The sequence below is a fragment of the Homo sapiens genome, chromosome 2, assembly GCF_000001405.40.
Source record: "Homo sapiens chromosome 2, GRCh38.p14 Primary Assembly".
In the NCBI taxonomy this organism is placed as follows: domain Eukaryota; kingdom Metazoa; phylum Chordata; class Mammalia; order Primates; family Hominidae; genus Homo; species Homo sapiens.
In genome coordinates this window covers 84,674,168-84,689,209 of record NC_000002.12, presented here as the reverse complement: position 1 = coordinate 84,689,209, position 15,042 = coordinate 84,674,168, and the positions used below count along the sequence as shown (strand labels likewise).

Here is a 15,042-nt window from a genome sequence, read left to right as displayed (position 1 = left end):
TAATCATGACTGCTTCACAGGATGGGATGGATACCAGAAGCACAGGAGGCAGATGTTGGCTTATCCTGGAAGGATCATTTTAGCATTAGAACTGTCAAACAGGACAGGAGCCACTTCAGGAAGTGTGCCCCAAGGACTGCAGATATTTAGGCTGGATGCTCATGAATGTGTCAAGGTTGTCCCTCATAGGACACTTGTAGTGGGTAAGAGTCAGACATGCAAGCAGGTGAAACCTTTGATCCTGGATTGAACTTGTTTTGCTATAATTTTGAAGCTCCTCTTTCTTTAGGCATGCATGGAACTAGCATTGTTATACCGTACATGTATCTCTGTAAACAACCTCATATCCTTTTTGTAACAAGACAGAACAGATAAAAACAAACAGAAACCATCTACTAATATTTAGCAAAAAAATGACTCTGGGGATTCCATAGAAAGCTCATTCCACAAATATTTAAAATATGTTAAACAATAACTCTTAAGTTATGGTGAGAGTTAATAAAAGACCTCTGACCATCTAGCAATCTGTTTGAAGAGTTTATACAACTTATTTTTTTACCCTTTAATACAAAAAATATTAAATCAATGCATTATTGGGCGCCTTATAGCACTATACCTTGAAACATGTTCTATAGCATCCTGGAAGAACACCAACTTTACTTCTTTGGGATTTGTGAGATTATAATCATCAAGATAGTCCTGTAGAACATTTGCAGTTTTCTCTATATCAGGCATGTCATCATAAATCCGATCAGCTTTATCTGCTCCAAACTATAATTTATGGGAGAAGAACCAAGTTGGATCAATTCTGATAGACACATAACCTGGAAAATCCATTTCATTTAACTTCTTCAAGAGCTACACTGGAATTTTGAAGGTCTTTGCAATAAAATTTACATAGGAGCTCAGAAATAGGGTTTTGATTTTTCTCACAATGCTATATTCTGATTTCACTTTTTTTTTTTTTTTTTGAGATGGAGTCTCTCTCTGTTGCCCAGGCTGGGTGGGGTGCAGTGGTGCGATCTCAGCTCACCACAACCTTCGCCTCCTTGGTTCAAGTGATTTTCCTGCCTCAGCCTCCTGAGTAGCTGGGATTACAGGCGCCCACCACCACGCCCAGCTTATTTTTGTATTTTTAGTACAGACGGGGTTTCACTATGTTGGCCAGGCTGATCTCGAGCTCCTGACCTCAAATAATCTGCCCGCTTCTGCCTCCTAAAGTGCTGGGATTACAGGTGTGAGACACTGCGCCCGACCTGGTTTCATTTTTTTGCTGTTAGGTTATTGACATTGGAAAAGCTAACTGGTTAAAAACTATGCATGGCAGACTGCTATTATTATAAAAAATCATGCCAGAACTATTTGTAGTTTTTAAATAGCAGTCATTTAGGGTTACCTAAATTGTTGAGAATGAAATTCAGGTGTGAAGTGTAGGGAGTCGAGTCCTTGTTTTAATCTATTGATGATATCCCTTCTCTATTGTATGTAGCAACGGCCCCAGGGGCACTTTCTCCTGGAATGTTTTACTAAAACACACAGAGGCAATGCAAGAAGAGTCTAGCTGTTTTTTTTCTGTGTGTATTCCCTCATGTGATAATACAATCAACTAGAAACACACAGGAAAATAATCTTTGAAAACAAACTTTGGACCATACTTTTAATAATAAATATAAATATATACTTTACAAAAATACGTAGTTTATCTTTTTTATTTGTCGGGTGGTAATACTTATCTAGAGTGGAGTTACCAGAGTGGTGAGGTATTGTCTACATATAATATAAAGACGAGTTCCTTCATGTGTTGAACCAGCATTGATTGAGAGCCTGCTACGTACCTCTGTGCAGGAACCTGGGAACTTAAGATGAACAAAAAACAGACATGGTCTCTGCCCTCTTGGAGACACTGGGAATGTTTTACTCGAACAAGAGGCACCTTAGTAAAACAACATGGCTATCTGCCAATGTAGGCAGGGCAGTGAGATAGAAGATTTATTCCAGGCAGGTCAAGAGGGTAAAATTTACCAGAGGGTAAAATTAGGTCCAGAGGGTAAAAATTAGACAGAGAGTATTGCAGAGACAGGCTTGAGGAACTCATAAGGGAATAAAAGGAAGTTAAATATATAAAAAAATTTGCTACTAATTAGAGTTACTCTGAAATGAAGAGAACAATTCTCTTAACCAAGTAGCTTCACTATGTAGAGTACAATAAAGGGGAAGTCCTGAGTTAAAAGACTAGACCTCTCCGCTTCCTTCCAAACTGAATACCTGATACCTCTCTGATTCAAACCGTTACCAAAATGAATGTAATTAGATCAGGAGTCAGCAAACTTTTTCTGTAAAGGGTCTGATAGTAAATATTTTAGGCTTTGCAGGTCATATGGTCTTTATCACTACTACTGCACTCTGCTGTTGTAGAGCAAAAGCAACCATATAAAAATCATATACATAAATGGCTGTGGCTATGTTCCATAGAATTTTGCTTACAAAAATAGGCAGCAGGCAGATGTGGCTCATGGGCCATAGTTTGCTGACATCTGGCCTAGATCTTAACTCCTCACACATGTAAAGTTTTTATAGAATATTCATTTGAATTGGAAAATAATAAATGCTTTACAATTTTCAAATGAGGTCAAGTCAATCTAACATACTTGCCTTAATGAAATCTCCAAATATGATGGGCTTATTCAAAAAATATTCCAGGTCAATTGCAATTCCAAAATGTTTGTCTATTTAAAGAACAAAACCAAGTTTTAAATATAATGATAATCTTGAATGGAATATTTTAGTGATAAAACATATAGAATAATAGCTGCATTTTACTTAGAAGACTTAATTAATATACATAAAAACTGAGAGAATACTGTGTTAACTCCATGCCGCTTTAGTTTAGCTGATAATCTCCCAAGTTTAAGATTAAGAATACTTAACAAAGAATTTAAAACATTTGTTAAATAATGAATATTGGATACTTATTTAAGAAATAAGAAGTACTTTAAAATTATCCTGGCTTTTTTTTTTTTTTGAGACGGAGTCTTGCACTGTCACCTGGGCTGGAGTGCAATGATGCGATCTCGGCTCACCGCAACCTCCGCCTCCTGGGTTCACATGATTCTCTTGCCTCAGCCTCCTGAGTAGCTGAGATTATAGGTGCACACCACCACACCCAGCTATTTTTTTGGATTTTTAGTAGAGACAGGGTTTCACTACATTGGCCAGACTGGTCTTGAACTCCTGACTTTGTGATCCGCTTGCCTTGGCCTCCCAAAGTGCTGGGATTACAGGCATGACCACTGCGCCTGGCCTATCCTGGCTTCTTATCAGACAAAATGCTCTTTCTCCTACTTTCTCTCCTCTACTTAAAACTTTATAATAAATTAAAATACAAACACTTCCTGAATTTACTTATTTATTTTGGTATTTTTAGTAGAGATGGGGTCTTGCCTTGTTGCCCAGGCTGGTCTCGAACTCCTGAGCCCAAGGGATCCAAGTACCCAGCCACCGAAAGTACTGGGATTACAGGCATGAGCCACCATGCCCGACTGACCCTTCCTGAATTTTAATAAAATTATTTTATAATATTGCATATTTCATATATTTTAATATATATTTGAACCATCAAAGAAAATAACTTTTACTCATAAATTATGAAAATTCTTTTTGTGTTAATTGTTCTTTGTAGAAACCAAATTGCTTTTCTACTCAAATAAAAAAAAGAATAGGTAAAGATTCATATTTACTGGCCATTTCTGTCAGAATAACATGGAAATAGTGCTTATCTTCATTATTAATCAAGCGATCATGGAAGACCCTTTGGCACTCATGGCAAAAGAGTCTAAATATCTGAATTTCTTCTCTTATTGTTCCTGGATCACATTGGAGGATACCTGTTTTTTAAGAAAAGGAAAAAAAAAAAGAAAAATTCTACATTTGTAGAATCTCCAGTAATAGTTTAATTAGGAAACCCTTAAGTACAACTTTACCCTCATATTGCCAAAAATGACTGCTTCCCCAGTGGATATACACATATACTAATAGTGACCTCATTTTTTGATAACAAATCTGGGATACATTATTTGACAAAAACATTTTTTCCCTGTTTTGTGATGTTTCTTTAACCGAGCATGTGAAGTGGTCAGACTTCACAATATAAGCAAGGTTTATCTCATTATTACATGAATTGCAATATGTTAAGTGAAGGGCCTCACATTACTTTAAAATATACTAAAGTATATATATTTACTTATCTTGCAACTTTCCTCCTCTCAATGCATATACTGTTTTTGAAACTCCCATTTCTCTCTTTCTTCCCCAATGTCAGTCCTCACCAAATGCCCCTGGCCCTTCTGGCTTCTACTAAGATTATTCTGAGTACTCATTTCATTAGTGTAAATTGTTATTGCAAACACAGTTCTAATGATTTCAAGTTACAATCAAAGCAACAATGTACAGGAATTCCTGGAAATGGTACTTCTCCACAGGGACCACCAATATGGGGCTCCTCACACTGTAGACAGGGGCAGGGAGAGTGTCTACTGTGCATGTGGGCACACACAGCAGAGAGTGGGTACCACACAGCATGGTAGGTACTGCTCATGTTGCTTTGGAATACTAGGGTATTTCTATAGATAATGATGCTACCTGTTTTTTGCATCTCACATTGGTGTTTGTGTGTTGTTTGACATATATGTTTCTTGAAATGCTTGAAGTTTTAATTATTTTCAGTTAATATTTGTAGAAATAAGGAAATTTCTAGGACTTTTGATGAAATGCAGAAACAAGGAGAAAGAGATTCAACATTGGAATTTCCTGTGTATTTTATGATGCGTCATTTCAGAAATAAAGTGGATCCTGAATTTTGAAGCTCAAAAATTATCTTAAAAATAGGAATAGAAAGGCAATGGGGAAGGATAAAAAATAAATGACTAGATTAGACAATGTCTGAGGATCAGTGAGTCTGAAGCGGTTCATGAAAGAAACGAAGTCATATTCTAATGTTTTCTAGGAAAATTGAGTTCATGAATCACAGGACTAAACTGCTAGTATAAGAGGGCAAGATTTCAGTGGAGGAAGAGAAAACAAATTATTTTGTCATCCTGTGGCAAGGATGGTGTGCCAGCTTTGAGAGTCCTTCAGGCTCTGGAAGGAGGAAGAAAAAGAAGAATGACAGAGCCTTCAGATCGGGAGTTGGGAAGATCAGGAACCTGTGTGAGAACTGTGCATTAGGAAGAAGCAGGAGGGGTCTGCAGGGTTCTTAATGCCTAAGCTCCTGCCATGGGCCAGCATCTCCCAGTTCATTCCCAGACTTGTTAATGCACAACAGGTAATGACTTAGATTGTGATGAAGACAGGAAAGAGAGCTGGCTTTCAAAGAGGCCAGTCATTGCTTCACATGAAAGCACTCCACAGCTTCTACTTTGGCTACTTTGCAGATATTAAAAACAAACTTATACATGTTAGTTAGAATCTTTTTAGAGAAAAAAAAATATTGGCCGGGCGCAGTGGCTCACACCTGTAATCCCAGCACTTTGGGAGGCCGAGGCAGGTGGATCACCTGAGGTCAGGAGTTCAAAACCAGCCTGACCAACATGGCGAAACCCGGTCTTTACTAAAAATACAAAAATTAGCTGGGCATGGTGGTGTGCACCTGTAATCCAAGCTTTTTGGGAGGCTGAGGCTACAGAATCGCTTGAACCCAGGAGGCGGAGGTTGCAGTGAGCCGAGATCACGCCACTGCACTCCAGCCTGGGCAACAAGAGTGAAACTCTATCTCAAAAAAAAAAAAAAAAAAAAAAAAAAATAAGAGTGGTGTAGAACAAAGGGCACTGGATGGGGAGTCAGGGAACGAAGCAGATTATGGAGCAACTAAGAGTTAGTGTCCTTGTATACAAAATCAGGGGAGACTTGTTTATTCATCTAGACATTCATTCATTCAGTGCCAGGCCCGATTAGGCACTGGGATACAGTGGTGAACTAAGCATACAGCCCTTGGGGAGCTGATGTCCTAATGGGAGAGACAGATACATGAACACACATATATGCAGAGAAATATGTGCGATATGATTACAGGTAATAGGAGCTATGAAGGGACATGGGAAGTTTTGCTGAGAAGGTGACATTTGAGCAGGGAAAGTGAGCTTATGTGGCTATCTGGTGTCAGAGCATTGCAAGCAATGTACAGCGGTCCCTGGGCAGGCCCGATTTCAGGAATGGCAAGGAGGTGGCAGTAGCAAGGAGGAAAGTGGTAGGCAATGAAAGGGAGAGGGAGCCCGGATCCAGATCACACAGAGACTCAACACAGGCAGGTGCTAGAAGCAGCCTCAGGAGGGTCTCAACAGGGCCCATGCTTGGCTGCTGTGCAGAGGGCAGAGCTGGGTCTCTTTGAACAGGGTAAACGGATAATCAGAAGCAGGAGATTAGAGAGGAGGTTAGAAGGGTAGTGGATGGAGTGGTGAGGAGTGGTTAGATTCGGGATATATTCTGAAAATAAAGCTGTCAGGACTATTTGTGGATTGCATAGAGGTTTTCAAGGTTCCTAGCCAGAGCAACTAATGGTAGTCTCCTCTGGGGCCGGGGTATGCATGGCCAAGGTGGAGGGGAAAAGCAAGAGTTCCATTTAGACATGCCAAGTTTAGCAGGCCAGCTGGATGCCTGAGGGTGCACACTGAGAAGGAAGCTGGATATGAAAGTCAGACTCTTAGAGTAGGGGTGGGAGCTAGAGGCAGGCACTCCAGTGCCATCTCTGAGTAGATGGCACTTGATGATGTAGAATTGACCAGAATTACTGAGGGAATATGTGCGTAGATCTAAAGACCGAGCCCTGCGGCCCCAACATTTTGAGGTAGGGAAGAAGAGGAGCAGCTATCAAAACAGACTGAGTGACAGCAGGCAGTGAGGGGGGACCCCAGGAGAGCCTGCCCTGGACCACTGGAGAAGGCGGGGAGGGGAAAGTTGCGTGGACATTGCTGTAAGTTAAGGTGCCGCTGAGAGCTGACCAGTGGATCTGAGCAGATGGAGATGGGACTCAGGTAGAGCAGTTGAGCACAGTGTTGGGTATCACAACTTTGATTGACGTATAGTAAAGGGAGAACTTGAGGGAGTAAGTGAGACAGGGAGGAGAGACCATTCTTTAAGAGGTCTTTCTAGAAAGAGCAGAGAAATGGGAGGGGTACCATCAGGGGATATGGGTCTTAAAGAAAATTATTTTTTTTTAAGATGGGAGGTATGATAGTGGCTTTTTATGCCATTAGGCATGATCCAATAAAAAAAGAAACTTTGAAGATGAGAAGTGGGAATTATGATAGCAAAATCCTTGAGTAGACAGGAGGGGACTGGGTTCGGTATTAGAAGGAGCATTGACACTGACAGATGGAGGGGGAGCTCAGCCCAGGGAAGGAAGATGCAAGTTGTCTGGGAGATTTAGAAGATGAGGCAGCTCTGGTCCAACTGCTTCTATTTTTTTTTTTTTTTCAGTGAAAGACAAGTAATCAGCTGGGAGTGAGAAATGGGAGGCAGTGTTGGCCATGTGAAATAGTTGTGAAGCACTCAGCCTGAATAGGAACAGGTGATGGGATTTCTGGGTGAGTCACCAACACCTGCATACATACAATGTTACTGAGATATTTGGGGGCCAATGGAAAAGTAGGGAGGGTGCAGATCAGAAAACGAGGGTTCAGTACACTACCTTGCACACATTTGGATAAGTCCCTCAAGTTAAAGACATAATGGGACTTGGCGGGTGTTGGCAGGAGGTCAACACTCATTTTGTTATAAATCTCAACTGAGGCTTCTACAATGCTTGATGCAGTTTGCTTTACAGCTGGTGGAAAGTCACTCAGGAAACCATTTAAGATGGCCTAGAACCAGAAACATAATATGAGAGGATTAGATTTATTTTAAACCAAATATCTATCTTTTAAATACTCCGGATGATAACGTTTTCTAATAATAGAAAGCCAAATTCCAACACAAAGTCTTCTGGTATCAAAGCTCTTCTGCTCATTTCAGAAAACATTCTTGAGAATGCGCTCACTCCTGTCTTCTGTGATTGTTTTGTGATGCCTGAGTGGCATTCATATCTGACTAGTGAATTTACATGAACACACTCTCAAGTAATTTAGACCTCTGCTTGAGGTGAGTCCAAGGGGTCATCACGAAGGGCACAAACCCACCTGGAAATGAACAGAAACCCTCTCTCTCACTTTTATGGATGAATGACCACCACTCTCATAGACTTTCATCTTCATGTATATTTTAAATGCGACTTACTTGCAATGGTGAACTCCCTCACACTTCAGCTTCCCCATCTCAGTAGCTGGCCATTCCCTCCTAAGCTTAGATCAGGAGCTTGGAAGTCTCTTTATACACCTCCCATTTTCTGTCCTGCAAAATCAATCTTGAACACATTTCTTGGATCTGTTTGCTTCCCTCTGTTTCCCCGGACATCACCCCATCCTGGCCCCTACTCTTTTTTATCTGGACTTCTCCTCTCTCTCCTTCACTCTGGCCTCTCCATTTCCATTCTGGTCTCCCTGCTGGTCCACCCTTCCCCCAGCATCCTCACTTCACCCCTCCCTTCCATTGCTCCCCATGTCCCCGCCACACTAGTCTGAACACCCACACTCCTTCCCACCTCAGGCCCCTGCACTGCTGCTCCCCTCTTCCTGTGCCCAGCCCTCTCTGCTTGGCAGGTGCCCTTTCATCCTTCATGTTTTAGGTTACATGCCGTCTCTCCAGAGAGGCCTTTCCTGACCACTCAGTCTAAAACAAGTCCTCCCATCAGTCTCTTTGATCTTCTCATCCATAACATCACAACTTGAACATGTGTATTTATTAGCTAGTCCTTGACCCGCAAGTGCTTGGAAAAATCATTATTGTTTTTTAAATAGATAAATTCTTATTACCATTAACCCTGGAGTAACTAATGGGAGAAGCCACGAGAATGCATATCAATGGTTGCAAGTTAGTCTAATCTGAAGTTGTGACTTCAGATTTGGTGTCATATATGAGATCTTTTGAAATAAACCTGAGTATTTGTTTTCAGTGGGTCTCCTGTTTAACATTTGCTTTAACTTGTGAGGATGACCTCTTTAGGTATCCCCTCCTGGGACCCCAACATGAGTTTAACATACTCCACATGGTCTGTATTTTATGTAGGACCATCTCAAACCCAATCTTTAAATTTGATGAAAATCTGTCCATTTGTATGTGTATGATGGAGAATAGACAAGCTGATAATTTTATTTATATATATGTTATATGTATGTAAAAAGCTCCAGCCTTCTGTTCTCCATGACACAAATACAAATAGTTTCTAACATATACATGAGTAACTGTGTGTCTATATCTAGATATCTCATTCATCTCTTCATTATCTGTGTCCATGGAAGAAGATCCATGAGGACAGGGATGATACACCAATATCAGGCGTATGGAAGGTGCTCAACAAATATTTGTTTAATGAATGAATTAAAGGCTACTAAACTGGTATCCATACATTAAAATTAGCGTATCATTATAGAATTTACTGAGGACCACAGCCTAGTATTCTACTTAAGGATCTGGCTTACATGATCTGTTTGGCAACTTTGCAAAACTCTTACTAAGAACATGCACGCAAGATGCAGCCAGGTTTCTTAGTTTTGGGAGGATTCTTTGGCATAAGCACATTATCACTAGTTTATGGAGCTGATCACGGTTTTCAGTTACTGCGTTATAGCTTTCTAACTAGAAATTTCATTAAATTTAATTTACCTGGTTGTGTGCTGTTCGGTTTACCCTTAGAATGTATAGTGATGCATATTTTGGCACATAAATTTCCAGTAAGTAAACATTCAGGTTTGTATGAACTATGGTCTGAGAAAGAGTCACTTATAATGTACATATTCCAACGGTGCAAATCGTGTCTGGGCATTAGTGGTGCGCTCCCTGCATATATGCACTATTTAACTAATTTGCAACAGACTATCAAAGAAAGTACAATGATAGGACTAATCGTGTTAACACTAATAGGTTATTGAAAACATTATATATAATATACATGTACTATTTAGACTCATAGGCTTCTTTTATACAGTAGAAATAAATCTATTTATATATGTTGCTAAAAATAAATTTACTTTATTGATTTTGCTCTTCTTCAATTCTTGATTATATCCAAGTTCTTTTTCCTCCAAACAGTAATGAAGGACAGGACAGACGGGTGATGAATTCTTGGGTCCTGCTAAGGTGGGATGTGATGAAAAATGAAGTTTGAGATCCATGGGCCTAGAGCAAGTTCTTTTTTCCTACAGGCAAAATACCCTGTCCGTTGTAATGAGAGCAATATTCTTTCCCACCTGAATTCAGTCCAACCTGGTAGCCCCCAGAATCTCTCAGTTTTGCCACATATCATTTCTATTTCCCCTTATAGCTAGTGTGGGTTTTAAATGTAAACCTGTAAAGTTACAGTGGGAAGAAGCAGCCTTATCACAGCCAGTTTTTAGCTATGATGTGCTTGCTGGATGATGTTCCCATGGGTGACACATTTCCATGGACATGATAATCCCACAGGAGGTTGAGAGTTGGGGACCATGTCTTTCCCAGTGGCCCAGGCTTCACTGTATTCTTCCCACCCACAAAATGGAAATCATTCCATTTTGGAATGATGAAGAACGATGTTTTTGTAGTCATAAACCTGAATTTGCTTTAACTTAATAAAAAATGAAATAAATTGCAAATTCAGTCTCTTCTAACCAGGCATAAGTTTCTTGAGACACCCCTCACCACTCACCACATCACAGTGTATCTGTGGTGTGGTTGGGAATCACTCACTTCAAACTTCAAAATATAAATATAAAAGTTCTCAAAAAAGTGTGCAGGCCTTAGACAACCCTTCTAATGGCTTTGGTGGTTGCTGTTATGTCTTGTTTTATACTCTGGTGCTTAATTATAGGAGTGAAGCTCCCATCTTTTCCTATTTTCTAAAGCACTCTCCGAAAGTTTTTCAAAATGTGGCAGTTTTTATATACCATTTTGGCATTAGCTCCTAAACAGCTTATTGGAACTACTTCAATTTATTAAAAATAATTTCCCACAGAAATAAGCTATTTCAATACAAACAGAAAATTCCTTTCCATGTACTGAAGGTTGTATACATGCGGGGTCTGTCCCTCTTGAGAGAGGGCTTCTACTGGAAGAAGTTGATGCTGGTGAATGTGGAGGTTCACTTAATTGCCACATCCTTGGGCATCACTGTCCACGTCACTGTCATCAGCTTCTCCAGGCCAGTCACCTGAACTGTCTTATTCTACCTTTGTGCCCACCTTACCATTTCCTGCCTCTGCAGTTGCGTTCACCCAGCACTTCCTGTTCCTAAGATCTGTTCCTCCCTGTCAATTCCCAGCATCCCCAAGACTCAGCTCACAATCTCTCTTCTCTAAGCAACCTTTGCAGGTTGGTTATGCGGGGCTTTAGTCATGCTGCTTCATATTCTCTTACTGTTCTACTCAAAATAATGCCTCTCAATCTGTTGAGCACTTGTAGGGCAGGTGTTATTATTTTTCCCATATAAAGGATGGGGAAGTAGCCTATTAGGGAAGTGAGTACAGATGGACAAAAGATAGGTTATCATTCTTAGCGAGAGTGGCCAAGGAGATGAGTTCTGTTTTAGGTGTGTTGAGCTTGAGCTCTCTGGCATATCAGGTGCCAAGTTTGGTGGCAAGTGGACACGCAGACCTGGTGGTTAGGGATAAGATGAGCACAAAGGCAGGGGCTGGGTAGTGATGAGATCTGCCAAGAACTGTGTGTGGAGTGCTAAGTGGCAGGGACCTAAGATGCAGCCTTCTCTAAAGGTAGGGGTTTTGTCTGCACAATCTTTCTGCATTTCTAGAACTCTCTGAGACCAACAGATACAGAAGGCAGTGATGCAAATGCCTGCCAGCTACTCTCCAGGAGTCCATATTTACCTGCTTCCTGCTCAGGAAAGAGACGGATAGATGGACTCCTTAGAAACACAAGACACCACTTTGATTGTGGGAGCCTTGGAACAAATATGCTTTCTTTTCCTCCTGTTGCCTAAGTTAAAATCGACACTCACCTGAAAAATCTGTTTCAGACTGTGCTCTGAGGGCATTGGGAGGCACAGCATGCTGAAGTGTCTGATGAAGCGGGGAGTCACAGGGTTGCGGCCACCGCCTGGAGGTGCACATGCCGATATGATTGTTACATCCTGTGTGCAGAGAAATCCACTTGGATCACTCAGCAGAGAATGAAATGAGACCTGCCTATCCTAATGGTAGGACTTCCCAAATGCCAGCATTGCATTACATTTTTTTTTGTGCATGTTAAATGACTTAATTCTCACAATCACTCCAAGAGATCACTATAATTACACCTATTTTATAGATTAAAAAACCAAGGCCCTGGATGGTTAAGTAAGTTGCTCAAGGTCACTCAGCTAATTCATCTACTTTGTATAAATACCTTTATGTGAAACTGTAATCCTAAAAACTTTGCTATCTGAAGATAAAACATAGCCATTCTTTCAACAAATATTCATTATTCATGGTAGTTAAGTTTAGTAAAGTTGGCTGGAGCACTGGATTAGTGGTTACTGAACCACTGCTCCTAGGGTTAGGTTTCTGTGAGTCTCTGGTGATGACATTTTTGTCAACCGACCAATCTATAACTTTGTTTTATGTGTGTTTCTGTTTAAAATGCCTTATTTTATATTGTTGAGTCATTAACATTGAACTCATGGACCACAGCACTATTAGTCATGCCTAAATGAAGCTTATCAAACTCATTCATTTTTTTCAGTAAGGCACATCACAGCCTTTTTGTGTTTAGAAATAGTAGACAGCACTTTAGCACCACAACTGGGCCATTTTACATAGCAAAATCACCAACAGAAGGCACAAAAATGTGAAAGTGTGGTCTCAAGTAGACTGCGAAAAGGGCAGTTGTTTACAGCATGGGAGCTGAAAAAGAAGGCAGAGTGTTGTCTTGTTCCACCTCATCTGGGAACTGTGGGTTGGACAGCTAGAATTTTTTGCCACTCCATACATGTCTGCAAAGGACAGAATAAGTGCTATGAATATTGATTTTGCAGTTACAAATAAATTTTGTGAGCATGAGAATCTTCAAACATGGAATCCACAAATAGCCTGGGCTATTGTGAGTTAAATGGAAAGCAAAAGCCCTGTGGGTCTAATGGAGAGAACATGCCACCTATTCCGTCTTAAAGCAGCTTTAGTGGGAAGGACAGAGGTTAATACCATAAATCAATGTTCTTAAAAATAAATATGCAACTTTGGGAGGCTGAGGCAGGCGGATCACTTGAGTCCAGGAGTTCAAGACCAGGTTGGGCAACACGACGAAACCCAGTCCCTACTAAAAATTCAAAAAATTAGCCAGGCATGGTGGCATGCGCCTGTGGTCCCAGCTACTCGGGGGGCTGAGGTGGGAGGATTGCTTGAGCCTGGGAGGTTGAGGCTGTAGTGAGCCTCTATTGTGCCAGTGCAGTCCAGCCTCAGTGACAGAATGAGACCCTACCTCAAAATAAAATAAAACAAAATTGCAATATAAATCACAGTAAGTTTTTTGAAGGAAAGGGATATAATGTTGAGGCAATGCTTGTTGGGGGAACCTAACTTAGTCTGTGAGTCAGAGAAGATTTGGCCAAGGAAGTGGCACTTGCAGTGGAGAGCTGGAAGGTGATAGTAGCAGAAGACAAGGCCATAGGGGTGAAGGAAGCAGGTGCATTTCTGGCAAAGGGAAGAGTGTGTGCCAATTCCTTTGGTAGGAAGAAGAATCTGAAGACCAAGAGGAAGGCACTCTTGATCCCAGATCTAAAGCACCAAGGCTTGAGGTGGACAAGTCCCTGTCTCTACGTGAATCAGTTCCAATAAACAACGGCTTACTATATACAAGGTATTAAGCTTAGCAGGGGCCATAAAAATGAGGGAGATGGAGGTCAGGAGCTCAGAGTCTAACATGAAGGAATGCAACACAAGATGAGCACATCAACAGCTCTGATTCAAGAAAGAATGTGAAGGCCATAAAGACACACAGTGCTCCATGAGGGTGAAAGAGGAGCTCACACTGGAAATGGGGGTTTAAGGAAAGGCCCTGTGAGCAAGGCTATTTGGAGATGGGCCTTGAAGGAGTAGGAAGATTATAAGGGAAGAGCTGGAGAGCAGGGCCCTTCCAGGTAGAGGACACCATCACAAAGGCATGCCGTGGGGGATATGGGTGCCTTCAGAAGACAGCAAGCCTTATGCCTCAGTGGGACTGTGGGGCATGTGCAGGGAGCAGCAAAAGACCCTCGGATCAGAGCAGCCATTCACAGCCATATGTGGGAGCCTCAGAGTGCCAGGGAGAGGCATTTCCATGTGATTTGTTTGGCAGAGAGGAGCCACTGAGCGCTGGCCTGGTGGGAGGTTTGGCAGTCATTCCCTTCCCACCCTCATCCCCATGGCACTGAGTCAGGGGAATTCTAAACCTGCAAAGGGCACGTGATATTCTCTCCTCACTGCGTTGTTGGGAAGATAAAGTTAGATAAACTTATTTGGAAAGTAAAAAGCCTTATATGCAAAAGACTGCTTTGTTTATAAAGATAAAGTTCCCAGGAACTGAATATGCGTTCATCTTGCATCCGGGGCTCCCTGTGTTGGTGACCAAGGCCCCTTTCTCGAGACCTACTACCTGTGACCCCATCAGTTTTCACCTCTGCACAGCCTGACCCTCTCTTCAGTCTCCATTTATCCCTCTGCCTCTTACACTCATCTTATTTTTTCACTTCAAAGAATGTTTATGCCTTGTTTAAGCTCTCATTTTGATAGACAGAAAGTGCTCTACCTGGATTTCCCAGGGAACTGGAGCTTAGCAATGGGGGCAGGGAGGAATCTTAGCTGAAATCACATATTCAGCAGCCAAATGGCCTGGGCTCTAATCCCAGTTTTGCCACTTGCCAGTAGTGTGACCTTGGACCAGTCACATTACTCCATACTCTTGGTCTATTTCTTGATCTATAAAACAGGGCTGATAGCATTATCCATCTTGTAG

The 15,042-nt window shown here is 41.3% G+C and overlaps 1 protein-coding gene across 14 annotated transcripts in view; it reads right to left on the bottom strand.

Annotated features, from left to right (window-relative positions):
* DNAH6 (dynein axonemal heavy chain 6) overlaps positions 1-15,042 on the bottom strand; it is a 360,018-nt gene that overhangs the window by 130,380 nt on the left and 214,596 nt on the right. For 10 of the 14 annotated variants that reach the window (XM_011532650.4, XM_011532649.3, XM_006711956.3 and 7 more), the window contains 5 exons: positions 12,074-12,205; positions 7,682-7,853; positions 3,738-3,884; positions 2,653-2,726; positions 617-771 (listed from right to left, as the gene is read on the bottom strand). In XM_011532650.4, coding sequence (XP_011530952.1) covers positions 617-771; positions 2,653-2,726; positions 3,738-3,884; positions 7,682-7,853; positions 12,074-12,205 — 680 coding nt within the window. Of the gene's footprint in view, positions 1-616; positions 772-2,652; positions 2,727-3,737; positions 3,885-7,681; positions 7,854-10,115; positions 10,220-12,073; positions 12,206-15,042 lie in introns of those variants that run through there. The other 4 variants (XM_011532653.2, XM_017003521.2, XM_011532660.2 and 1 more) reach the window with 3 other exon arrangements.